Genomic DNA, 27525 nt, shown 5'->3' with positions numbered 1-27525 from the left:
TTGTTGCCTCTTAAATCCAGGATCTTATACCCTGAGGCCTAAATAGTAACAATCATCTCATCTGTTCACCTTCCTTGGCCTCAAGTGCACTGCACTCCAGATCTCCTAAGTGTGTTGATTGCCTCAGATTCTCAAAGTGGGATGGCTTCCTGTCCCCATTCCAGCACAGACCCATACCCTCAGGAATCCTCCCCACAATCGCAGGAAGCTCAGAGGTCTCTCCCATTTGAACAGGTCCAGGGTTCTTACTTTCCTCGCTGCTCTGTTGGCACATTTCACTCTTACCCTGACTCCTCTGGTATTTGGCATTATCAGCAATTGAGGCTCTACCCATACATGGAAGTACTAGAAAATAGAGGCTTACCAAAAATGTAACTTTACCAAAAAACACAACCTTTTTTTTCTAATTATTTTTTTTTAAGGCAAGTCAAGTGAAGCAGTAGGAGTGGGGAAGGAACAATGAAATCTGTAACTGGTTGTGATCAATTAGTTGTAAACACCACTGCACTCAGACCAGCCAGACACAACCATTTTGACAGAAATTTTTGCCAAAGGGATTATGTGCTTCTTTGCCCTCAGAGTATGTTGAAGGTACTTCATCTTTTCCTTCTGTGAAGAAAAATAGAATCTCAGGACCCCAAACTCACTATGCCAAAGGGAAGTTAAGCTTGGGAACTGAGGCATGCAAAATGTGCTTTGTTTTTGTTCCCAAACAGACAGATGTCATTTCACAACCTTGTGTCATGGCTTCATTTACTCTACTCCCTCTTTTCACATGTTTATCTTATGTAAAATGCAGACTTACTGAGCACAAGACAATGTGTAATTACTTTTTCCTCCATTCCTCTTTTTACATGTAAAATGTAGATTTACTGAGACTGATCAGAGCCTGCAAGAACGTAGCCATCTGCCTTATGACCCTCTCTTTTTTTCCCTCCAGATTGCTCTTTCCTCTTTAAATACTGAAGTTCCCAAAGCCCCGTTTAGAAAAAGCACAGGTCACCAATGCTCCTGTATGCTTATATTTTTTCCTGGGTGTGTCTTCAACCTTGGCTAAATAAACTTGTATTTGTTTTGAGACCTGCCTCAGTCACTTTTCAGTTTATACTTCAATACTTGGAGTGATATCAAAATGTACAAAATTACTGCATTGCACAGTCAGAGCCAGCTGGGAGGACTTCTGTGGGACTCATGCCTTGTTGTAAGTTGATGTTAAAGGTTTCTCATCTGCTAGATTCAGGAAGACCCACAGAGTAAATCAGAGAGCCAAGCTGATTAGATCAGTGACTTTATAGATACACAATTTGAAATCAATATCATCTGGCCTAGAGACAACTTCAGCTTTCTGTATGGAAAGGAATAGAGACTTCAAAAGAGTTATATTTGTCTGCTCAGATGATTTTTTTCCTGCCTCAAGATTCTTGATTATAAGTCAGAGTGGAGCTTGCTGGAGGCTATCTTTTGAGTGAGTGGCATAATAGAACATTTCTGTATTTAACTTCTCTGGTATGACCCCCTAATCACTTAAAAACTTGTAAGGAGGCCAGGTGGGGTGGCTCACGCCTGTAATCCCAGCACTTTGGTAGGCCAAGTTGGGAGGATTGCTTGAGCCCAAGAGTTTGAGACCAGCCTAGGCAACATAGTGAGACCCCATCTCTACAAAAAATTTTAACAATTCACCTGGCACAGTTGTGTGTGCCTGTAGTCCCAGCTACTCAGGGAGCTGAGGTAGGAAGACTGCTTGAGCCCAGGAGGTTGAAGCTGCAGTGAGCCGTGATCACACCATTGCACTCCAGCCTGGGTGACAGAGTGAGACCCTGTCTCAAAAACCAACAAGCAAAACTTGGAAGAGTTAGGTTTTATTCTTATATTTCTTTGTCTTTCTCATGGTGACATAGGAGTTAAAAAGAAGTTAGGCAGTTAGTAAGGGTACGAAAGTCCTTGGTAAGGTTTCCCTTTTAATGAAAAGCAGCCTCCAAATCATTTCTTTTCTAACAAAGAGCAGCCTGTAAAATTGAGCTGCAGACATAGATAAGCAAGGTGGAAGCTTGTACAGGTGAATGCCAGCAGCTGTTTCAATAGGAAAAATGCTACCTGGGAGCTAGGCATGTTCAACATGGCGGCTCCATCTTCCCTTTTCTTTGTCAACCATGTGTACAGTAAGGGGCAGACAACATGGCACTGGCCAGGAAAAAACCGATTTGCATAATAAAAGATTAGGGTAGGGTGGCCAGCTTATTCATGTACTATGTGAACATCATGCCTGGTCCAGCCAATCTTTAGGCCCTATGTAAATCAGACACTGCCTCCTCAAGCCAGTCTATAAAACCCCGTGCACTTTACCATGGGACCAGAAGACCCACTCGGGTGCCCCTCTCTGCAGGAGACAGAACTATTCTCTTTTCTCTGTCTTTCACTTATTAAACCTCTGCTCTTAACCTCATTCCACATGTGTGTCCATGTCCTTGATTTCCTTGGCATGAGGCAACAAACCTCGGATATTACCCCAGACGAATAACATTGCTTCAATGGTACAATGCTTACTCTATACATATAACAAATATCTACTGAATCTACAATTATGAACCTAAGTCATTGCCAAGACACCTGTCATGACGGCAAGTTAACAGGTTGGAAAAATAGTTGTAAGTTGATGGTGAGGTTGTTCAGGCTAAAACAATAGTGGAGTTTGAAAAGGAATTTAGAATTAAATTTTAGAGTTGTTAACAGTAAAGAACTGATAATGATAGCAACAAGAGTCAGCCAAATGCCTAGGCAGATAGGGGTGGGTCCCCGGTAAAACCCCACCTTCAAGCCAAAAAAACAGCCTGAAGCCTGAAAGATCAGACTGCTGGTCCCAGATGAAACCTGTGACACAGGGTGAGAACTTCTGTTCCTGTTTGCCTGCCCTTTCCCATTTGATTCTTTCTGAATAATGCCTTTTAACCAATTGAATGTTGCCTTTTCCAATACTAGCTATGGCCTGCCCTTCCCCTATTCTAAGCTCATAAAAGCTCCAGACTCAGCCACATTGGGGGGACTTTCCTGTCTTCAAGTAGGGGGACCACCCCTGTGTCCCCTCTCCACAGAAAGCTGTTTTGTCACTAGATGAAACTTCTGCTTTGCTCACTGTTTTATTGTCAGCATATCCTCATTCTTCTTGGATGCTGGACAAGAGCTCAGGACCCACTGAGTGCAGGTACACAGAAAGGCTGTCACACTGACCTTTTGCCCTCACCGGCAGAGAGTAGCCACTCCATGTGACAGGGCCAGGGGCCGACTGAGCTGCCAACACACTGCCATCCATTGAGCTGTGGACGGGGGAACTAAAAGAGCTCATTAGCACACTAACATCCCTTCTGGGGCTTCAGAGTTGCAGGCACCCTTGCCTGGGCAACAGCATGTTCCCCTCAAGGTGACACTCCTGGTCTGGCTGCAGGCCCCACATGGAGCTTACTCCTGTGTTGGCACCTGGAGTGGCCAGCTGGCTCCTGCACTCGCTCTCTCACATTCTCCCTCCCACAAGGGACTGAGTGTGGCAGGCCAAGTAGACAGGATGCACCTGCTGCGAGTCCAGCAAAGGGGCTGAGAGAAAATTCCTGTGTCAATAAGATATTCCTTTTATCCCTAACCTATGAAAGAAGATAAAGCGGAGAGCAAGGGTAAGTGCCTTGGTTATCTTTACAGAAACTAGACTTTAAGGGACATCCAAACCTTTATATCTACGGTGGTAATCTGTGGGGACAGAGTACTACCTTCCACGTTTCGTTCTTTTTGGTTTCTTTTCAACAAGGCTGGGAATAGGGTTAGTCAAGAGAGGCATGTAGGGTGCAAATGTAATACAGCCTTCACCCTCAGGCCACTTGCCTCAGGTCATTTGCACAACCTTGAGCGTTACATCTTATGCCCTAGATGCCTCTCTTGTCTCTCCCAGCTCAGCTGCCACATTTTCTTCCTCCCTCTTCGATAGCTTATCTGCCAGTCTGTAGCCCTGCTTTTTAAATTTTTTTAAATATAGAAATTAAATTTTAGTCAGACCCTGTCTTTTAAAAAAAAATAACTGAGCATGGTGGTACATGTCTGTAGTCTCAGCTACTCAGGAGGCTGAGGCAGGAGGATTGAGCCTGGGAGGTCAAGAGTGCAGTGAGCTGTAATTGTGCCAGTGCACTCCAGCCTGGGCAGCAGAGCAAGACCATATCTCAAAAAAAAAAAAAAAAAAAAAAAAGTAAATCCCATCATTGCCTTTGTTCTCAATTAATGTAAAAAAAACTCAATGTAAAACAATTCAAGAAACACAGAAATCAGCTGGAAAATAAAATCCCCATAATGTCACACCTAGAGATAACATATTTTTCAGTGACCCTTCCCATATGTTTTTCAACCAAAATGAGATTAGACTATACACTGTTCTTTTTAAAAAGTATTAACAGCATATCACAAGTGTCTTTTATGTCAACAAACACACAATGTGTATAATGAATACTACAATTTGTTTAGCAAATTCTTGACTGAAGGACTTTTAGGATGGTTCTAGTTTTTCACTTTTATAAATCACTGTGAGATAAACATTCATTCATTTATTCAAATATTTACACCTTTCCTCCTCATCTCAAAATTTCAGCCAAAGCTCTACATTGGAGAACATTGGGCAATATATTCTGAAGTAAGATATCGGAAAAATCTGTGCCAGAGGTACTAACATACAGCAGAACCAGCCTAGCAACTGTCAGGCCCCATTTTTAACCTCAGGCTTATATAAAATGAAACTAGAAATCTGAAAGACTGAAGAGTACCATCGAAGTAAAGCTCATGCTTGGGTGTCTCCCGTCTCCGATAGGGGGAACAGTGAATGCTTCTCTCCCTGCTGCTGTAAACCAAGTGAGGGAAGCCCCAAGAAAACCAAATACAGAAATTAGGAATACCTGCAAGAAGGAAAGACAGAACTTCCTCCCCATGCATGTTCATCACGCTATGGACTCTGGGCCCTGGAACTCCGTGGGTCCACAGTGGGAGTGGTATTGAGAGAGTTTGGCCAGTATGTTCTGGAATCTGGGGACAGAGATAGACACAGAGGGTAGTGCTGGCTTCCTGCCAGGAGAACTTTGAAAGCTGTGGGGCCAAGAAAGGGGGCAGCAGAGGGAACAGTCTTGGGTGGGGGGAACAGAGCAGATAAACTCTGCAGGAGTTTTCCAGATGGGCACCGCAAAGCTGGCAGGCTTATGCTTTCTTGATTGGGCTCCCCTAAGAGGACTGCTTGCTCGAGCAAGGGGAACTGGGCACTAAAAAAGAGGAATGGGGGGGACTGCCAGGCAGAGCTCAAGGAAGGCATCCGAAGAGGAGAAGCACATCGTTGCCCACATGAGGAAATGTTATAGGAGAAAAGTGCCTGTACCTCATCCCAAGAGAGAGACAGCCAGCATTTGAATGCCTGTCATATGTTCAGGTCAAGAGAAGCCAGTCAAAGTGCACCAACTAAGCAGAAAAACTTTTTTTTTTTTTGAGACAGGGTCTCACTCTGTCACCCAGGCTGGAGTGCAGTGGTATGATCATGGCTCACTGCAACCTCCGCCTCCCAGATTCAAGCAATCCTCCCATCTCAGTATCCTGAGTAGCTGGGTCTACAGGTATATACCACCATGCCTGGCTAATTTTCATTTTTTTTTTGTAGAGACGGGATTTTTCCACGTTACCCAGGCTTGTCTGAACTCCTAGGCTCAAGCGATCTGCCTGCCTCGGCCTCTCAAATTGCCGGGATTACAGGCATGAGCCTACTAAGTAGACCACCATGCCTGGCATACTAAGCAGAAGGACTTTTGTTCCATTTCCTGCAATTCCTCTCCTCCCTGCCCAACCTTGAGGGCAGAGGTAGAGAAAGAGCGCTGGAGATTACTTTTATATAAACAGACTTATTAAAGGCACTTTTTACACAGAATTACATAATCCACTATTATTTCTATGCAAAAGCAAAATAATGGCCACTTCCTGAAAACAAATACATCTAAAATGTATAAACATGTATCTTCATGAGAAACATATTATTTTATTCGAGTAAGAAGCTGAAATCACAAGACAGTCTTTGACATTCTGCCAGTTTTGACTTTGCATATTAATGACAACCACAAGTGAAAGCCTGGACTCAAAGATTGTAGGAGCAGGTAAAATCAGAGCTCCCATCTCTCACTTTGTCAGATTAAAGACACATTTATGTGAAAAAAAAGAAGAGGATTTCTTCAAAATCCTGCTAGTTGAATGCATTTGTATTATTTCTTTTGTTCTGAAGTTAATGAGGTCATCTTTAGCAGGGTTTGTGTCCCTGATGTAGCTTCTATCAGAAAAAAAGGGATTATAAATCTACTTTTAATTTTGAAGTCACATGGGTTGAAAAGTACCCTTCAAAGGAGTTTCATAGTGTTTCCAGGTGACTTTTGCCTGCAGAGAAAGTGATAAAAAGCCTGCCTCAACACCTCCTCCACTTCTGCAAAGTGCATATAGTTGTACTCCTCCAATTTCTTCTTCCACTCTCACCATGTTCCTCTCTGGTCCAGTTGCAGCATACTTAACATTGCCTGCAGTGTTTTGAATACTAAAGTTTGCATCATTGGTAAAGCCAAAAATATACACCAAGTAAGCCAAGACAAAAAATGACCACTCCCAGTCTACTCACTGAGTGGGCTCTTCTTATCTCTCTCTCAAACAGAAGGTGGACATTTTGAAGAACTCAAACTTGTCTTCTAGCATCATTGACCTCCTTTGTAGTAGAGAAAAACTTGATAGTCTGCCTCCAATTCTTGGGAGAACTTCTCAAAAAGGAGGTAATTCTAGGCTGTGGCTCTGCAGGAGTAGACAGCAGTAGACAAGGCTTCCTCTGGCCAAGGCCAATCCATGCTGATGCAAAAGTCAAGGAGCCATCTTCCTTGTGCAGCTTCTTTCTCCCAAAGGAGCAAACCAGATATGTTGCTAAGCATCAGAGGAGTTCTCCAGGTGCACAGAAGGTCAAGATTCACTTCCACTTGAAGCGTTGTTTGGAATGGTAATTTTTCACTCTTTCAAAGACAGCAGGAATCTTTGAAGTATCCAAAAGGGGCTCGCACAACAGAAATTCTTGTCAGGTGGAACCAGTTGCACTGGATGAAGGAAAACCAGGAGCTTGCTGTGCTGAGAGATGTCAGTAATTTCACTGAGTCGGATGCTAAAGGAAATGAAATAATTGTCCATTTCCTTAAAATCTGCTTTTAAAACTAGAAGAAACATCAGCAACTCTGGAATTAATGTAATATGACAGAGAGTCTGGTACAATTTGTTCCTTTGCAAGAAAACCTAAAACAGCCTGTAAAGTTTAGATCACACAGCTTTACCATCATCTGTCCAATTGTATGTGGTTTCTTTTACCCAGCAGGGCAATAAAAACTTTCAGAATGTTTAAAAACGAGGCTTTTGTGATGGAGCAAATCCAAATTTTGGTAGTTAAATCCTTCAAACATTCACCCTCTTCTCATGACAAAGATCTGCTTTGCCTGCAGTGAACATGTGTCCACTTTTTTTTTTTTGAGACAAAATCTCACCGTTGTCACCCAGGCTAGAGTGCAATGGTGCAATCTAGGCTCACTGCAACCGCTGCTTCCGAGGTTCAAGTGATTCTCCTGCCTCAGCCTCCCAGGTAGCTGGGATTACAGGTGCACACCACCACTCCAGGCTAATTTTTGTATGTTTAGTAGAGACAGGGTTTCACCATCTTGGCCAGACTGGTCTCAAACTCCTGACCTCAGGCGATCCACCCACCTCAGCCTCTCAAAGTGCTGGGATTACAGGTGTGAGCCACCATGCCTGGCCAACATCTGTCACTTTTGTTGTCCCAGAATTTCATTTCATCCACTTTTCTTCCAGTTACAGCACAGTGATTTTTCTTTGGGGAACCACTCCTACCTGCTCTGACTGTGTGATTCTGCTGGGACCAAACCAGTGCCCAGTGCCAGGGGTTGGCATAATCACTGTGGCCAGGAAGATGAAATATACTGATTTCACAAGCACAGACATGTAACCCAAACCAGGAAGTTTTCTTTCTGCAGGAATTGCTGGCTATGGGGGTGATGGAAGACTACAGTTGAGGAGGCCACTTCATGACAGAGGTTGGGAGCAGGGTTACCTGAGAATGTTGTTCTCACAGGAAAACAAAGCAGAAGATGACAAAATGAACCTCTGGACCCAGTCTTTCTTACAGCCAGAACCACCTCGAAATTTTCAGATATGTAATCCAAAAGCTCTTTTTTTTTTTTTTTTTTTTAAAGAATTTGTCTTGGATTTCTGTACTGACAGATGCCTGGGTAACCATGTCCAATGTTCAATTTACTTTCTGCTGGACAGATAGAAGGCTCTCCTGCAGCCTTTTCATCTTCAGGTGTCCGCTGGTAAGAAATCCGCCACACAAGAAAGCACTGACATTTGGAGCCTCATCAGGTTCAGAGTTGAAAGTGAAATAAAGGATAATAATCTTTGTCTTATTTTCTTTGTTTTAATGTTTCCCAACTTACGTTAGGACAATGTCAACAAAGACAGATGTCCCTAATAGTAATTGCAGGACATGTGTTTTCTCATTCCTATCAGTGACAAAGTACTCTAGACATCATAACCTGGCAACAATGACAAGCACACCACCCTTCAGTAACAATCCATGCCACCTTACACATGTGTGGGGTAAAACAGTAATGTAATAACATATGTTTTTCCTTAACAAAGTCAGATTTTTAAAGAAATAGAAAGGACTTTGGTTGAGATGATAAAATGAAGTATTCAAGAAGTCTCTCTGCTCTCCAAATACATAGAAAATCTGGATAAATTATAATAAAATATTTAAAATACATAATTACACTCAAAAGCAAGAAAGAGAATTTTAAAGTGGCAAAAGAAGAGGAAACTCAAGCCATCAGCATAAGCAGTGTGAGGCTGCCTGATGTAGTATTGGGAACAAATACATTCAATCAAGCTGGGTCTTTAATGTCAGCACCAGGGTGGTGCCCCACAGTGAGGAAGGTGAAACTGGGCTTCCTACACAAATGCCAGTGCTGAAAAAGCTGTCCTATCTGTGAATAACGATGTGATGGTTAATACCAGGTGTCAACTTGACTGGATTGAGAGAGGCCTAGATGGCTGGTGAAGCACTGTTTCTGGGTGTGTCTGTGAGAGGAGACTGACATTTCAGTCAGCCAACAGGGAGAAAAAGACCCACGCTCAATGCGGGTGGACACCATCCAATTGGCTGCCAGTCCGGCTAGAACAAAGCAGGTGAAAGAAGAGGGAGAAGCAGCTTGCTGGGACCTCTTGCTCTCTCTCTTTCTTCTTGTGCCAGATGCCTGCTTCCTCTCCTCCTGCCCTTGGACATCTGACTCCAGGTTCTTCAGACTTTGTACTCTGGGACTTGAATCAGCGGCCTCCCAGGGGCTCTCAGGCCTTTGGCAACAGACTGAAGGCTGCACTCTTGGCTTCCCTTGTTTTGAGGGTTTCAGATTGGACGGAGCCACTACCAGCTTCTCTCTCCCCAGCTTGTAGACAGCCTATTGTGGGACTTCACTGTGTAATCCAGTGAGCCAGTTCTCCCTAATAAACTCACTTTTATATATACATATATCCTATTGGTTCTGTCCCTCTGGAAAATCCTGACTAATAAAAAGGACTAGAAGAATTTCACCTGCTAGCCTGGTGACAAAGTGTGAAGAGTGACAAAAACAATAATTTAAAACTCAAGACCCAAAGTCTATGTAGATACAAATATGTGACTCTGAGCTAAGAAACTAAACTAATCAAAATTGCCGAGTCCTGAAGAAAACAGCAGGCAGAAGCTAAGCTGCCTCTAGGTTAACCCCTACAGAACAGGGTGCACATAGGACTCCCATGTAAATCAACCCCTGCTAAAGATAAGCTCGAATCAGACAAGTTTTCCCAATCAAAAGTAGGTCAATATTAGTCTAACATTTTATTATGGCCCCGAAAGCCAATTTCCTCTAGAAACCCAGCAGCTTGTGGTAGAAAGCATGTTTCAAATGCATTTTATTACCTTACTTCAGCATACCAGGTGCTTTCTGATCATGTACAAACATTACTTATTAACCACACTTTATCATTTTTTTAACCCAGTTCTTAAGATTAAAATCAATCTCCCAGGGGTTTTCTACCTTTAGCATTTTTATGATGAATACATTTTAAACTCTTTTTTTAAATTATTATACTTTAGGTTCTGGGATACATGTGCAGAACGTGCAGGTTTGTTACATAGGCATTATACATGTGCCATGGTGGTTTGCTGCACCCATCAACCCGTCATCTACATTAGGTATTTCTCCTAATGCTATCCCTCCCCTAGCCTCCCCACCCCACAACAGTCCCCAGTGTGTGATGTTTCCCTCCAGGTCCATGTGTTCTCATTGTTCAACTCCCACTTACGAGTGAGAATATGCGTGTTTGGTTTTCTGTTCCTGTGTCAGTTTGCTGAGAATCATGGTTTCCAGCTTCATCCATGTCCCTGCAAAAAACATGAACCCATCCTGCTTAGTATTCATGGTGTATATGTGGCATGTTTTCTTTATCCAGTCTATCATTGATGGGCATTGGGTTGGTTCCAAGTCTTTGCTATTGTGAATAGTGCTGCAATAAACATATGTGTGCATGTGTCTTTATAGTAAAATGATTTATAATCCTTTTGGTATATACCCAGTAATGGGATTGCTGGGTCAAATGGTATTTCTGGTTCAAGATCCTTGAGGAATCACCATACTGTCTTCCACAATGGTTGAACTAATTTACACTCCCACCAACTGTGTAAAAGTGTTCCTATTTCTCCACATCCTCTCCAGCATCTGTTGTTTCCTGACTCTTTAATGATCACCATTCTAACTGGCGTGAGATGGTATCTCATTGTGGGTTTGATTTGCATTTCTCTAATGACCAGTGATAATGAGCTTTTTTTCTTTCACATGTTTGTTGGCCACATAAATCTCTTATTTTGAGAAGTGTCTGTTCATATCCTTCACCCACTTTTTGATGGGGTTGTTTTTTTCTTGTGAATTTGTTTAAGTTCCTTTTAGATTCTGGATATTAGCCCTTTGTCAGATGGATAGATGGCAAAAATTTTCTCCCATTCTGTAGGTTGCCTGTTCACTCTGATGGTAGTATCTTTTGCTGTGCAGCAGTTCTTCAGTTTAATTAGAACCCATTTGTCAATTTTGGCTTTTGTTGCTATTGCTTTTGGTGTTTTAGTCATGAAGTCTTTGCCCATGCCTATGTCCCGATGGTATTGCCTAGGTTTTCTTCTGGGGTATCTATGGTTTTAGGTCTTACATTTAAGTCTTTAACCCATCTTGAGTTAATTTTTGTGTAAGGTGTAAGGAAGGGGTACAGATTCAGTTTTCTGCATATGGCTAGCCAGTTTTCCCAGCACCATTTATTAAATAGGGAATCCTTTCCCCATTGCTTGTTTTTGTCAGGTTTGTCAAAGATCAGATGGTTATAGATGTGAGGTGTTATTTCTGAGGCTTCTGTTCTGTTCCATTGGTCTATATATCTGTTTTGGTACCAGTACCATGGTGTTTTGGTTACTGTAGTCTTGTAGTATAGTTTGAAGTCAGGTAGCATGAAGCCTCCAGCTTTGTTTGTTTTGCTTAGGATTGTCTTGGCTACACGGGCTCTTTTTTTGGTTTTGTATGAAATTTAAAGTAGTTTTTTCTAATTCTGTGAAGAAAGTCAATGGTAACTTGATGGGAATAGCATTCAATCTATAAATTACTTTGGGAAGTATGGCCATTTTCACAATATTGATTCTTCCTATCCATGAGCGTGGAATGTTTTTCCATTTGTTTGTGCCCTCTCTTATTTCCTTGAGCAGTGGTTTGTAGTTCTCCTTGAAGAGGTCTTTCACATCCCTTGTAAGTTGTATTCATAGGTATTTTATTCTCTTTGTAGCAATTGTGAATGTGAGTTCACTCATGATCTGGCTCTCTGTTTGTCTACTATTGGTGTATAGGAATGCTTGTGATTTTTGCATTGATTTTGTATCCTGAGACTTTGCTGAAGTTGTTTATCAGCTTAAAAAGATTTTTGGGCTGAGACAATGGGGTTTTCTAAATATACAATCATGTCATTTGCAAACAGAGACGATTTGACTTCCCCTCTTCCTATTTGAATACACTTTATTTCTTTCTCTTGCCTGATTACCCTGGCCAGAACTTCCAACACTATGTTGAATAGGAGTGGTGGCAGAGGGCATCCCTGTCTTGTGCCAGTTTTCAAAGGGAATGCTTCCAGCTTTTGTCCATTCAGTATGATACTGGCTGTGGGTTTGTCATAAATAGCTCTTACTATTTTGAGATATGTTCCATCAATACCTAGTTTATTGAGAGTTTTTAGCATGAAAGGGTGTTGAATTTTATCTAAGGCCTTTTCTGCATCTATTGAGATAATCATGTGGTTTTTGTCATTGGTTCTGTTTATGTGATGGATTATGTTTATTGGTTTGCATATGCTGAAGCAGCCTTGCATCATCCCAGGGATGAAGCCAACTTGATCGTGGTGGATAAGCTTTTTGATGTGCTGCTGGATTCAGTTTGCCAGTATTTTCTTGAGGATTTTCACATCAATGTTCATCAGGGATATTGGCCTGAAATTTTCTTTTTTTGTGTCTCTGCCAGCTTTTGGTATCAGGATGATGCTGACCTCATAAAATGAGTTAGGGAGGAGTCCCTCTTTTTCTATTGATTGGAATAGTTTCAGAAGGAATGGTACCAGCTCCTCTTTGTACCTCTGGTAGAATTCGGCTGTGAATCTGCCTAGTCCTAGGCTTTTTTGGTTGGTAGGCTATTAATTGCTGCCTCAATTTCAGAACTTGTTATTGGTCTATTCAGGGATTCGACTTCTTCCTGGTTTAGTCTTGGTAGTGTGTTTGTGTCCAGGAATTTATCCATTTCTTCTAGATTTTCTAGTTAATTTGCATAGCAGTGTTTCTAATATTCTCTGACAGTAGTTTGTATTTCTGTGGGATCAGTGATGATACCCCTTCATCATTTTTTATTGTGTCTATTTGATTCTTCTCTTTTATCTTCTTTATTAGTCTGGCTAGCAGTCTATCTATTTTGTTAATCTTTTCAAAAAACCAGCTCCTGGATTCATTGATTTTCTGAAGGGTTTTTCCTGTCTCTATCTCCTTCAGTTCTGTTCTGATCTTAGTTATTTCTTGTCTTCTGCTAGCTTTTGAGTTTATTTGCCCTTGCTTTTCTGGTTCTTTTAATTGTGATGTTAGGGTGTTGATTTTAGATCTTTCTTGCTTTCTCTTGTGGGCATTTAGTGCTATAAATTTCCCTCTTGACACTGCTTTAGCTGTGTCCCAGAGATTCTGGTACATAGTGTCTTTGTTTTCATTGGTTTCAGAGAACTTATTTATTTCTGCCTTAATTTCATTATTTACCCAGTAGTCATTCAGGAGCAGGTTGTTCAGGTTCCATGTAGTTGTGTTTTTTAGAGTGAGTTTCTTAATCCTGAGTTCTAACTTGCACTGTGGTCTGAGAGACTGTTTGTTATGATTTCCATTCTTTTGCATTTGCTGAGGAGTGTTTTACTTCCAATTATGTGGTTAGTTTTAGAATAAGTGTGATGTGGTGCTGAGAAGAATGTATATTCTGTTGATTTGGGGTGGAGAGTTCTGTAGATGTCTATTAGGTCCAGAGCTGAGTTCGAGTCCTGAATATCCTTGTTAATTTTCTGTCTCGTTGATCTGTGTAATATTGACAGTGGGGTTTTAAAGTCTCCCACTATTATTGTATGGGAGTCAAAGTCTCTTTGTAGGTGTCTAAGAACTTGCTTTATGAATCTGGGTGCTCCTGTATTGGGTGCATATATATTTAGGATAGTTAGATCCTCTTATTGCATTGATCTCTTTACCATTATGTAGTGCTCTTTTTTGTCTTTTTTGATCTTTGTTGGCTTAAAGTTTGTTTTATCAGAGACTAGGATTGCAACCCCTGCTTTTTTTTTGCTTTCCATATTCTTGGTAAATATTCCTCCATCCCTTTATTTTGAGGCTATGTGTGTCTTTGCATGTGAGATGGGTCTCCTGAATACAGCACACTGATGGGTCTTGATTCTTTATTCAATTTGCCAGTCTGTGTCTTTTAACTGGGGGCACTTAGGCCATTTACATTTAAGGTTAATATTGTTATATGTGAATTTGATCCTGTCATTACAATGCTAGCTGGTTATTTTGCTGTTAGTTGATGCAGTTTCTTCATAGTGCCAATAGTCTTTACAATTTGGTATGTTTTTGCAGTGTCTGGTACTGGTTGTTCTTTTCCATATTTAGTGCTTCCTTCAGCTCTTATAAGGCAGGCCTGGTGGTGATAAAATATCTCGGCATTTGCTTGTCTGCAAAGGATTTTATTTCTCATTCACTTATGAAGCTTAGTTTGGCTGGATATGAAATTCTGGGTTGAAAATTCTTTTCTTCAAGAATGTTGAATATTGGCCTCCACTGTCCTCTGGCTTATAGGGTTTCTGCAGAGAGATCCACTGTTAGTCTGATGGGCTTCCCTTTGTTGGTAACCCGACCTTTCTCTCTGGCTGCCCTTAACATTTTTTCCTTCATTTCAACCTTGGTGAATCTGATGATTATGTGTCTTGGGGTTGCTGTTCTTGAGGAGTATCTTTGTGGTGTTCTCTGTATTTCCTGAATTTGAATGTTGGCCTGCCTTGCTAGGTTGGGGAAGTTCTCCTGGATAATATCCTGAAGAGTGTTTTAGTGTTTTCCAACTTGGTTCCATTCTCCTCATCACTTTCAGGTATACCAATCAAATGTACGTATGGTCTTTTCACATAGGCCCATACTTCTTGTAGGCTTTGTTCATTTCTTTTCATTTTTTTTCCCTCTAATCTTGTCTTCACACTTTATTTCATTAAGTCGATCTTCAATCTCTGATATCCTTTCTTCCACTTGATCGATTCGGCTATTTATACTTGTGTATGCTTCACGAAGTTCTCGCGTGTGTTTTTCAGCTCCATCAGGTTATTTATGTTCTTCTCTTAACTGGTTATTCTAGTTAACAATTCCTCTAACCTTTTTTCAAGGTTCTTAGCTTCCTTGCATTGGGTTAGAACATGCTCCTTTAGCTCAGAGGAGTTTGTTATTACCTGCCTTCTGAAGCCTACTTCTGTCAATTCGTCAAACTCATTCTCCATCCAGTTTTGTTCCCTTGCTGGCGAAGAGTTGTGATCCTTTGGAGGAGAAGAGCTGTCCTGGTTTTTGGAATTTTCAGCCTTTTTGCACTGATTTTTCCTCATCTTTGTGGATTTACCTACCTTTGCTCTTTGATGTTGGTGACCTTTGGATGGGGTTTTTGTGTGGACATCCTTTTTGATGACATTGATGCTACTCCTTTCTGTTTGTTAAGTTTCCTTCTAACAGTCAGGGCCTACTGCTGCACGTTTGCTGGAGGTCCACTTCAGACCCTGTTTGCCTGGGTATCACCAGTGGAGGCTGCAGAACAGCAAAGATTGCTGCCTGTTCCTTCTTCTGGAAGATTTGTCCCAGAGGGGCACCCGCCAGATGCCAGCCAGAGCTCTCCTGTATGAGGTGTCTGCTGACCCCTGCGGGAAGGTGTCTCCCTGTCAGGAGGCACGGGGGTCAGGGACCCACTTGAGGAGACAGTCTGTCCCTTAGCAGAGCTTGAGCACTGTGATAGGAGATCTGCTGCTCTCTTCAGAGCCAGCAGGCAGGAACGTTTAAGTCTGCTGAAGCTGCGCCCACAGCCGCCCCTTCCCCCAAGTGCTCTGTCCCAGGGAGATGGGAGTTTTATCTATAAGCCCCTGACTGGGGCTGCTGCCTTTCTTTCAGAGATGCCCTGCCCAGAGAGGAGGAATCTAGAGAGACAGTCCAGCTACAGTGGCTCTGCTGAGCTGCGGTGGGCTCCGCCTAGTTTGAACTTCCCAGCAGCTTTGTTTACACTGTGAGGGGAAAACTGCCTACTCATGCCTCAGCAATGGTGGACGCCCCTACCCCCACCAAGCTTGAGCATCCCAGGTTGACTTCAGACTGCTGTGCTGGCAGCGAGAATTTCAAGCCAGTGGTTCTTAGCTTGCTGGGCTCCATGGGGGTGGAATCTGCTGAGCTAGACCACTTGGCTCCCTGGTTTCAGTCCCCTTTCCAGGGGAGTGAACAGTTCTGTCTTACTGGCGTTCCAGACACCACTGGGGTATGAAAAAAAAAAAACTGCGGCTAGCTTGGTGTCTGCCCAAACAGCTGCCCAGTTTTGTGCTTGAAACCCAAGGTCCTGGTGGTGTAGGCACACGAAGGAATCTCCTGGTCTGTGGGTTGCGAAGACTGTGGAAAAAGTGTAGTACCTGGGCCAGAGTGCACCGTTCCTCACAGCACAGTCCCTCACAGCTTCCCTTGGGTTGGGGAGGGCGTTCCCCAACCCCTTGCGCTTCCTGGGTGAGGTGATGCCCCACACTGCTTCTGCTCACCCTCGGTGGGCCGCACCCACTCTCTAATCAGTCCCAGTGAGATAAGCCAGGTACCTCAGTTGGAAATGCAGAAATCACCCACCTTCTGTGTTGATCTCACTGAGAGCTGCAGACCGGAGCTGTTCCTATTTGGGCATCTTGCCAGCCCCCCACATTTCTAATTCTTACTCTCCCACTCTTTCAGCCAAGATATCAGTGAAGATATTATGTGACTGAGATTTGGATGTTCAGATAGAATATTTCTTTTTATGAAACAAATGAAATATTATGTTACTAGATTCCTGAAGAAATTCATACACCTCAATTTTAATTTTAATACCAAATCAATTAAATGATATTAGCAGCAGAACTCTTAGAATTCCAGCACAGAAATGTTTACATGCTGAAATGCTGTGTTGTCATTTTATAATCCTAATTAATTTTTCATGCACATGTATGAAACAGTGTAGTACAATGGGAAGATTGCCAGACCAGTGATGAGGAAGCCTGGAAGCCAGTCCTGGTCTGTCCTCTTCCTAGGCATCTAACCTCGCAGCAAGTCACCTCCCAACTTCACTTTCCAGATTTATAAGATGGTCATAACACCACCAAGCCAGTGTGCTCCATAGCTTGCTGTGAAAAGCACCAACAGCAGAGGCTGAAAGGAACCTAGGAAAGATCACAGATGTGTGAGAAATCTGGGCAGAGCCCTCTTCTGATAGGACTCCCATGTCCTCTGAGCAAGTTTACTTAACTTTGATACTTTTCAGCTGAATTCTAGAATGCCTAACATCCTTTCTACACTTCACATTCTCTCATGAGTTCCCCTTCTCAAATTCCTAGCATCTCTCTAGATTTCTGTTTTGCACATTGTTTTTAAGCTACCATGTTTTGACCTTTCTTAGATCACCTCAAGTTGCTATTTTTAATTATTTTAGGCACATAACCTTCATCATTAGGGTATCCATTCCTCATAGGAGTGTTTTTCACACCATACTTATGACTCATGAGTCATACTGATTTTGACCACTACTTTTTACAAATATCAAATAGGACAGAAAATAATGGAGCACATCACGCTTAGTAAGGCTACCCATTGTTCATAAAAAAGTATTTCAAGTGCGTGTGTGTATATGTGTGTTTTACTAGGTTACACTATAAAATGTGTTTCTTACTGTTGGTTACAATTAAAAAGGTAGAAAGTGGTGCTCCGCACTGTAGAACAAATCCAATTGCCATTCCCTTGCTTAGAATCCTTTAATGGTGACCCAATGAGAGGACAAAGCTCACTACCTTTAATGTGAACTACAGGGTCTTGCACAACCCATGATCCCACAACGCGGAATCATGTTATTCCACGCAGCCCCTTGCTCTCTGTGTTCCAGTCACAAGTGAACCTTTTATTTGTTTATTTATTTTTACTGAGACTGGGTCTTGCTCTGTCAGCCAGACTGGAGTGCAGTGGAACCATCATAGCTCACTGTAGCCTTGGGCTCAAGTAATCCTCCCACCTCAGCCTCCTGAGTAGCTGGGACTACAGGCACATGCTGCTGTGCCCAGTTTGTTTGTTTGTTTGTTTTTAAGAGAAGGCGTCTGGCTTTGTTGCCCAGGCTAGTCTCAAACTTCTGGCCTCAAGCAATCCTCCCCCGTCTTAGCCTCCCAAGGCGTGATTACAGGTGTGAGCCACTGCACCCAGCCAAAACCTTTTAAATTCCTCCTCAACAAACATCTTTTCATTAAGAAGCTGCTGTGCGTTAATGTTCTAGATACATGAGACGGTCCTGAGAACAAAACAGACCAGTTTCCTGCCCTCACAGAGCTTACATTTCAGTCCTTAAATCCAGCATGTGCCATGCCATCGGAGGTTGTGCTCATCACATGGCTGCATTCTTCCCCCACCCTCCCCTCACTCATCCTGCACACTGTTGAGCTAATTATCATTCCTTCAGGCCATAGATCAAGGGCTCGGTGGTCATTTCCTCAGGGTCACCCTTCCTGACATGTCTCCACCATTCTCTGAATGATCCGGAGTGACTCTTAAAGAATCATTCATCTAGGGTTTTTATGGTTTTAGGTCTAACGTTTAAATCTTTAATCCATCTTGAATTGATTTTTGTATAAGGTGTAAGGAAGGGATCCAGTTTCAGCTTTCTACATATGGCTAGCCAGTTTTCCCAGCACCATTTATTAAATAGGGAATCCTTTCCCCATTGCTTGTTTTTCTCAGGTTTGTCAAAGATCAGATAGTTGTAGATATGTGGCATTATTTCTGAGGGCTCTGTTCTGTTCCATTGATCTATATCTCTGTTTTGGTACCAGTACCATGCTGTTTTGGTTACTGTAGCCTTGTAGTATAGTTTGAAGTCAGGTAGTGTGATGCCTCCAGCTTTGTTCTTTTGGCTTAGGATTGACTTGGTGATGCGGGCTCTTTTTTGGTTCCATATGAACTTTAAAGTAGTTTTTTCCAATTCTGTGAAGAAAGTCATTGGTAGCTTGATGGGGATGGCATTGAATCCGTAAATTACCTTGGGCAGTATGGCCATTTTCACGATATTGATTCTTCCTACCCATGAGCATGGAATGTTCTTCCATTTGTTTGTGTCCTCTTTTATTTCCTTGAGCAGTGGTTTGTAGTTCTCCTTGAAGAGGTCCTTCACATCCCTTGTAAGTTGGATTCCTAGGTATTTTATTCTCTTTGAAGCAATTGTGAATGGGAGTTCACTCATGATTTGGCTCTCTGTTTGTCTGTTGTTGGTGTATAAGAATGCTTGTGATTTTTGTACATTGATTTTGTATCCTGAGACTTTGCTGACCCAGCCATCCCATTACTGGGTATATACCCAAAGGACTATAAATCATGCTGTTATAAAGACACATGCACACGTATGTTTATTGCGGCACTATTCACAATAGCAAAGACTTGGAACCAACCCAAATGTCCAACAATGATAGACTGGATTAAGAAAATGTGGCACATATACACCATGGAATACTATGCAGCCATAAAAAATGATGAGTTCATGTCCTTTGTAGGGACATGGATGAAATTGGAAACCATCATTCTCAGTAAACTATCGCAAGAACAAAAAACCAAACACCGCATATTCTCACTCATAGGTGGGAATTGAACAATGAGATCACTTGGACACAGGAAGGGGAATATCACACTCTGGGGACTGTGGTGGGGTCGGGGGAGGGGGGAGGGATAGCATTGGGAGATATACCTAATGCTAGATGACACGTTAGTGGGTGCAGCGCACCAGCATGGCACATGTATACATATGTAACTAACCTGCACAATGTGCACATGTACCCTAAAACTTAGAGTATAATAAAAAAAGAAAATTAAAAAAAAAAAAAAGAATCATTCAGCAAACAAGAAAATAAAGATATCACTAATAATAGAAAATATGACGAGAAATTCTCAGAATCTGAATGAAGGTTATACCCTCTCTGTAGTAGATAATCCGTACAAAATATAAGTAAAGTCCAAAGCATTCACCAGTCCTTACTTAAGAGTCACTCATTAAAAAATGAATCCAACTCTATTATTTGCTCTGTAGGTTGAAAACGGGTAAGAGGATCTTCATAATTTTAGATTTAGTATCAAGAAGAATGACAATCTTCCTTTTGCACTTCCTTTTATGTGAAAATTCAATTATGACCCAAAAGCCATTGGATGATGTAGGAGCTTGCAGGAGGAAATATAGTGTCTGCTGGACACTGTCTCATCAGAGCATAGCACACTAGGCCACTGACAGTATCTCAACTAGCTGGCAAGAAAGACGGCTCCCCAAAGCCCGTGCACTTTCATTGCTCTGGTCACATTGCTTTCTTTGCTTGAAATGCTCTTCCTCTTACCCTTCTCTACGATCTTGCACCTACTTTGCGACTTAGTTCACATGTGTCTTTTGTGAAACCTCTGACTTTCCTTTAAAGAACTGATCACCCTCCTCTCTGTCCCCATTGACACTGTAGGTGCTGTAATTTTCTTCTGGCATTATAAATAGTGTCTGTCTATCTCACTATATTATGAGGTCCAAGTAGGCAGGAATTGTATCATATTCATTTTTTCTTACTTCTGGTATAGTGCCTGATACTTACTAGGGTTTATTCTGTATACTATGAAGATTTACTGAATATTTATAGAGTCTCCCTTTAAAAGGCTGTTAAGTCATTCAGTTTCCTCCAACACCAAGGCAAATCTTTCCATAACACTTACAAATTTTCTGCCTAGTCTCTGACCAGGCTTCTGTTGTTTGTTTCTATTCCTATCCTTCTGAAATATTTTCTTCATCCATTGCTAAGATCCAATAAAGTAAAAGAAAAGATGAAGAAAACATAAGCACAATTACACTAATATTAAAGATAAAGAAAAAAGGGCATTGTCTCAAGTAAGATTTGACAATGTCTATCATTATATGTGCAAGTGAACATATTTAATTAATATTGCATCTTAAAGGGCAGATCTGGGTGGGGCATGGTGGCTCATGCCTGTCTTCTCAATACTTTGGAAGGCCAAGGTGGGAGCATTACTCGAGCCCAGGAGTTTGAGACCAGCCTGAGCAACATGGGGAGACCTTTTCTCTCTCTCTTTTTTTTTTTTTTTTTTTTTGAGATGGAGTCTCACTCTTGTCACCCAGGCTGGAGTGCAGTGCCACGAACTCAGCTCACTGCAAACTCTGCCTCTTGGGTTCAAGCGATTCTCCCACCTCAGCCTCCCGAGTAGCTGGGCTTCAGGTATGTGCCACCACGCCTGGCTAATTTTTATATTTTTAGTATAGACGGGGTTTCACCATGTTGGTCAGGCTGGTCTCAAACTCCTGACCTCAGGTGATCTGCCTGCCTTGGCTTCCCAAAGTGCTGGGATTACAGGTGTGAGCCACCGCACCCGGCCGGAGATATTTTCTCTACAAAAGGTAAAAGAATTAGCTGGGCATGGCGGTGCATGCCTACGGTCCCATCTACTCGGGAGGCTGAGGTGGCAGGATGCCTTGAGCCCAGGAGTTTGAGGCTACAGTAAGCTGTGTTCACACCACTGCACTCCAGGCTAGGTAACAGAGTGAGACCCTGTCTCAAGAAAAAAAAAAAAAGAAAGAAAAACTAAAAAAAAGGACCGATCGGAAAACCCAGACTGAAGTTATCACACAGAAAAGTTCTTACTAAGCCATAAGAGAATACTGCAAGTTTCCTTCACTAGGTCCATATGGCCTTTAACGTTTTTAACATACCTATGTCACGCATCCAGAAAGTTGTTCAAATGGATATTCTTGGCAAGTTCAACACTAACAGAGATGTGAACTAAGTTATTGACATTTAATGATTGGGATATAACAAGGGCATCAAATAAGTTATAAAGTAGTGAGTTATCTTTTTGCTGTAGAAAGTTAGAAGGGCAAACTAAAGCATGAGATAAATGATAACTTATATGATTAAAGGGTGGAAAGTTGAAATTTATTTTATGCAATTTGAAAAAACTGACTATACTGTTGGATTTAGTGGCTTATGTCAGGATTTTCTGCATACAAAATTAACAAAGGGCTGACCAAAAGGTTTTTCTGAGGTGAAGCAGTTTTGACAGGAAGTGGGATTCATCAGGCTTCTTCAATGGCTGAAATTAAATTGGAATTTTCAAGTACTGGTATATATTTGTTACCTTCTACTATGCAAAATAAACTGGCTCTCTGGGCAAACTTCCTCACTGAGAAGGTTTAATGGAAAGGTAAACTGTAGTTCTTAATAGCATGTTGGTTAAAAAGCACTTAAGGCATATTTCACCAGAGGACTACTTCCCAGCCTTCATTTATTTACTCGACAAATCTTTATGGGAAACATACTATGTGTCACATGTCATGTGAGGCATCAGGGATAAAAGGATGGCACTTGTCTTTAAGGAACTTAGGCTTTGGTGGAGAGAAACAGGCCTATAAACAAACATGAAAGAAAGCATTGTGGGAGTTGTGACAGAGGGACTAAGAAGATATGAAAAAGAGAAGAAGGGGGTTGATTTTGATTGGAGCAAACGAAAAAGATTTCATAGAAAAGATCACATTGAAAAGATAACATTCCAGCACTGAGAAGCTGGAGAAGGAAATGAATGAATAAGAGTTCAAGACAGCGTAGAGGTCAGAAAAAAGGCCTCCTAACAGAAGTGTTTGAATACTTGGGGGACCTTCTAGTTCAAAAGAATGTACTTCCTGTATATTTTATAGAATAGATTTTTGCTACCAATTACTGAATTGGCTTCTGGTTCACCGGTTGTTGGTTTATTGGATTTTATTATTTATTTATTTATTTATTTATTTTTTGAGACAAGGTCTGGCTCTGTCATCCAGGCTGGAGTACAGTAGCACGATCTCAGCCCACTGCAACCTCTGCCTCCCAGGCTGAAGCGATCTTCCCATCTCAGCCTCCTTGCCATGTTGCCCAGGTTGATCTTGAACTCATGAGCTCAAGCCATCCTCCCACCTTGGACTCCTAATGTGCTGGGATTACAGGCGTGAGCCAACGTACCTGGCCGGTTTGCTGGATTTTGAAATTGTTATTTTGTTCTCTCCATTTAGTATGCCCATGTCTGGTAGATCTGAGAACCTTTAAAAGCAGAGAAGACGGGCAAGGATTCAATCTATATATTGCACTTCAAAACTTCCTGGAGAAAAAAATGAAAGCAATTGTGTGTAATAGCTCAGTGAGAGCGATTTAGGTACTTATTGTGTCATATTTTGGTACTTAATGTATTTTGGTACTTATTGATAAACTATAAGATGAGTACCTCCCTTGATGACACTGAGGGCTAAAGAAGGTGGGGCCATATAAATTTGATACAGAGATAGTCAATATCCATAGTTTCCATTGACACTGAGATACTGCAGCTCAAATTCCCACATTTATGCCAGCAAAAGGTAAAAATATAGGATTTCCTGGAAGCGTACAGGGAATAGGTGACCATTATAGTTTATCTCTAACTAACATATCTCTATGTTAATCCTTGTTAGAAACATTCCAAATGCAGAGATTGTCACTCAGTAGTCATGGAGTTAGTGGTGATATGCCCCGCTGGTTTCACAGAGGCAGTAGCCTTCCACTGACCCTAAACCATTTCAGTCTGGGAATAATGTGCTGACTACTGAACTCTGTGTTCCTTGGTCACACCCTGCCCTTTATCAGAGATGAGGAGCTAAAGCTGAGGATTATAGAAAGATTATGCTGAAGCACTGAACTGAACCAAGCTCCTTAAAAGTGCCCAACCCATAAAGCTCCTAACCTCTTACTTCATGTTTGTCTTATTTGATGCAATTTCTAAAACAATGATTCCAAGTTCTCTTTGAGTCTATAGTCACACACATATTAAAAATAAAATGGTTTCAGTTATGCAGGATGAATAAGTTCTAGAGATCTAATTCATTATAATAAGCATGGTGACTATAATTAACAATACTATACTGCATACTTGAAGTTTGCTAAGACAGATCTTAGATGTTCTTACCACACACCAAAAAAGATAACTATGTGAGGTGATAAATATGTTTGATTGCGGTAATCATTTCACAATATATACTTGTATCAAAACACCATGTTGTGTATCTTAAGCATATATGCTTTTTATTTGCCAATTACACGTTAGTAAAGCTTGAGGAAAGAAAAAAGAATTGGTAAAAGACACTTGGAAAAATATAGCTCTTAATATTATGACTTCATGTAATTGTCACAGCAACTTTAGTTTAGATGTCTCTACATACCATGACGTAATCAATCAAAAACATCCATGTATTGGCTGGGCATGGTGGCTCATGCCTGTAATCCCAGCAATTTGGGAGGCCAAGGCGGGTGGATCACAAGGTCAGGAGTTCGAGATCAGCTTGGCCAACATGGTGAAACCTCGGCTCTACTAAAAATACAAAAATTAGCTGGGTGTGATGGTATGCACCTATAACCTCAGATATTTGGGAGGCTGAGGCAGGAGAATTGCTTGAACCTGGGAGGCAGAGGTTGCAGTGAGCAGAGATCATGCCACTGCACCCCAGCCTGGGCAACAGTGCAAGACTCCAAATTTCTATGTTTCAATAGCAGGTGTTGCCCTGAGGTCTTGTTTTTCTGGTAGAACAGGTCCTCAGAAAGTCCACAGTCTGTACATGTGGTCAAGAAGCAAAACCATTAAACTTGACCTCTCCTCTTACTCCATGCTAAGAGTGGTATGCCAGAGATTTTACGTGCTGGTTTTTCTATCTCTGGTGCTAAGTTTGTCATAAAGAATAAATGAGTCCTTGAAATGCTGGAAATGAAATTACATATTCCAGCAAAAGTTGTAGAATTCTCCTTTGCTAGAGGTTGGTGAAGTCATACATATAGATGATAATACTGTAATTCATGATGTTTATGAAAGAATTTGCTTTCCACTGAATTTATAAGTTCATTCAGTGTTTACACTGAAACAGTAGTCAAAATTCTATTTGGAAAGGATGCTGGGAGACTAATCAGTGGTTGATACTGTTTCACTATAAACACAAGAAATGTGAAATAAAACATAATAAATTAAAATTCATAGCTGAGTTCAAAGGAAAAAAAATTACCCTGGCATAAGAAATAAAATACTCAAAGCTAAGCAATGAGTATACAAGCTGGCACTTAGGCATCCTAGTAAAATAGCAGATCCAGAAATAAGCTCTTATATCTAGGGACTAGGACTTCAATGCCTATGAAGGGATCAGAGACATAGCCCTGGGATCATGAAAGGCAGAGAGCTGGAAATAAGACCCTTTCATACGGTTGGATCCAGGGATGGGTTATCTCCTCCATGAAAATGGAAGCGGAAACATGACCAATGCCTCAGCTAAGTGTTATCATTTGCCTAGGGCTTGTCATTTGCCTAGAGCTCAGGGTAGAGAAGAAATTCTCCAACAAAAAATAAAATGCCAAAGAGTGATTTAGACCCCAAATCTATATATATATATGTATATGGGGTCTGAATATATAGTATCTTTGTAATGTAATAATCACAAACTGAGGATTAATATAAAAATTGATCTCAAATAGATGGGACTCCTTCAGGGATGGCAAAATCACCACTTAAGGAAGCAAACCAAAAAATCCTATACTTCTGAAAATCCATAATCTCACTTTTAAATTATTCATGGTCCAAGTAGAAATCATAATTAAATTTGTAAAACAGAATTAAACAAAAATAATAATACTATATAACAAAATTAAAGGTAAGCAGATAAAGCAATATCTAGAAGATATAGCATTAAAATATATACATACATATTTATTTGAAAAACGAATATATGTTAAAAAAGGAAAAACTGAAAATTAATGAGCTAAGCATTCACTCAAAAAGCTACAAAAATAATGGCATAAATTCAAACAAATGAGGAGGAAGCAAATATAAAGATAAGATCAGAAATTAATAAAATAAAAAAGAATGAGAGGAAAAGTAAATGAAAAATATTAAGAATAGAGAAACCTAAGTATAAAAACTGAAGCAGTTTTTTATTTTTTTTATATTTTTAAAATTGTTTTTATAGAGAAGGAGTTTTACCATGTTGCCCAGACTGATCTCAAACTCCTGAGCTCAAGCGATCAGCCCACCTCAGCCTCTCAAAGTGCTGGGATTACAGGCATGAGCCACTGTGCCCAGCCTAGAAGCAGTTTTTTAAATAATAAAAATATTACATTAATACATTTGAAAATTGAAAGACGGTAGAAATTTTATAAAATATATATATATACATTTCCAGGTGTGGTGGCTTATGCCTGTAATCCCAGCTACTTGGGAGGCTGAGACAGGAGAATCACTTGAACCCGGGAGGCAGAGGTTGTAGTGAGCTGAGATTATACCACTGTACTCCAGCCTGGGTGATAGAACAAGACTGTCTCAAAAAAAAAAAAAAAATTCTGCTGTGTGCATTTAACACACTATTGTTAAAACCTCTCTAAGGCACTGCACTACCTACTAAAGGATATTCTTCTTTTCTTCTTTGAAAGATTAAGCCTGTCAAGCTTTCCTCAATGTTTGTGTTCTAACTTAACATCCACAAGCAGAAATTACATGGTTCATTTAACTCCAATGCACTATTATGAAACAAACTTAACATACTTGTTTAAAAACTGTGTTACCTTCAAAAACAAGCTTATATTTCAGAAACAACTTTTAGAATCACTTTATTCCTTTCTTGCTTAACAATGCTGGGAATAAAAGTCAATGTGCCCTCATGTTCGGTTTACTTAGAATTCAGCCTCTAAAACAATCCCTTAGTAACAACTTTAAGATAATGTCACAAGAACATTAGAGAAGCTTGGAGATGTGCAAGAAAAAGCATTTTTACAATAAATTCTCAAGTATATGTGATAAACGGAAATGAACATGACGCAGAAAATACAGACATTAATTAGACATTGAATGGGTCACGGAGCACTCACGAGTGTAAGACACTGTTGTATATGTATCATAAGAAAGGTAGAAAAATGAAATATGTTCCTTCAGAACCCTTGGAAAACCTAAGAATATAAGGGTAAAGAGGACAAGGATAAACGATGTAGAGACATTTATTAATAAGCTACATTCAGAAACTCCAAAGAAATATGATGTCAGGGCACCTGAATCAAGTGTACCTAAAGCTTTGCAGCCTAGATAAACTTTAAGTGCATGGATTAGAAGTGACAGACTATTCTAGGCTGTACTGAAATCCAGTATTGGCCGTATACCCTTTCATTCAATTTCTGATAAAAGTGCTATTGCTCAGTAGTCTAAAGGTAGGACAAGACAAAAAAGGAAGAGGAGGCCAGGGGTGGTGGCTCACACCTGTAATCCCAGCACTTTGGGAAGCCAAGGTGGGCGGATCACCTGAGGTCAGGAGTTCGAGACCAGCCTGGCTAACATGGCAAAACCCCATCTGTACTAAAAATACATAAATTAGCCAAGCATGGTGGCACATGGCTGTAGTCCCAGCTTGGAAGGCTGAAGCAGGAGAATTCCTTGAACCTGGGAGGCAGAGGTTGCAGTGAGCCAAGATCGTGCCACTGCATTCCAACCTAGGCAACAGAGCAAGACTC

The 27525-nt window shown here is 41.1% G+C and overlaps 1 protein-coding gene across 2 annotated transcripts in view; it reads right to left on the bottom strand.

The window, feature by feature from the left end:
- CRYBG1 (crystallin beta-gamma domain containing 1) overlaps nt 1-27525 on the bottom strand; it is a 211301-nt gene that overhangs the window by 150793 nt on the left and 32983 nt on the right. The window contains exon 2 of one of the 2 annotated variants that reach the window (XM_047418270.1): nt 22987-23064. The exons of the other annotated variant lie outside the window; for it this stretch is intronic. Coding sequence (XP_047274226.1) covers nt 22987-23064 — 78 coding nt within the window. The remainder of the gene's footprint in view (nt 1-22986; nt 23065-27525) is intronic. 2 annotated transcript variants of the gene reach the window in all.

Source organism: Homo sapiens, chromosome 6, assembly GCF_000001405.40.
Source record: "Homo sapiens chromosome 6, GRCh38.p14 Primary Assembly".
In the NCBI taxonomy this organism is placed as follows: Eukaryota; Metazoa; Chordata; class Mammalia; order Primates; family Hominidae; genus Homo; species Homo sapiens.
Note: the sequence above shows the minus strand (reverse complement) of the source record. Positions and strands in the feature narration are given on the sequence as shown.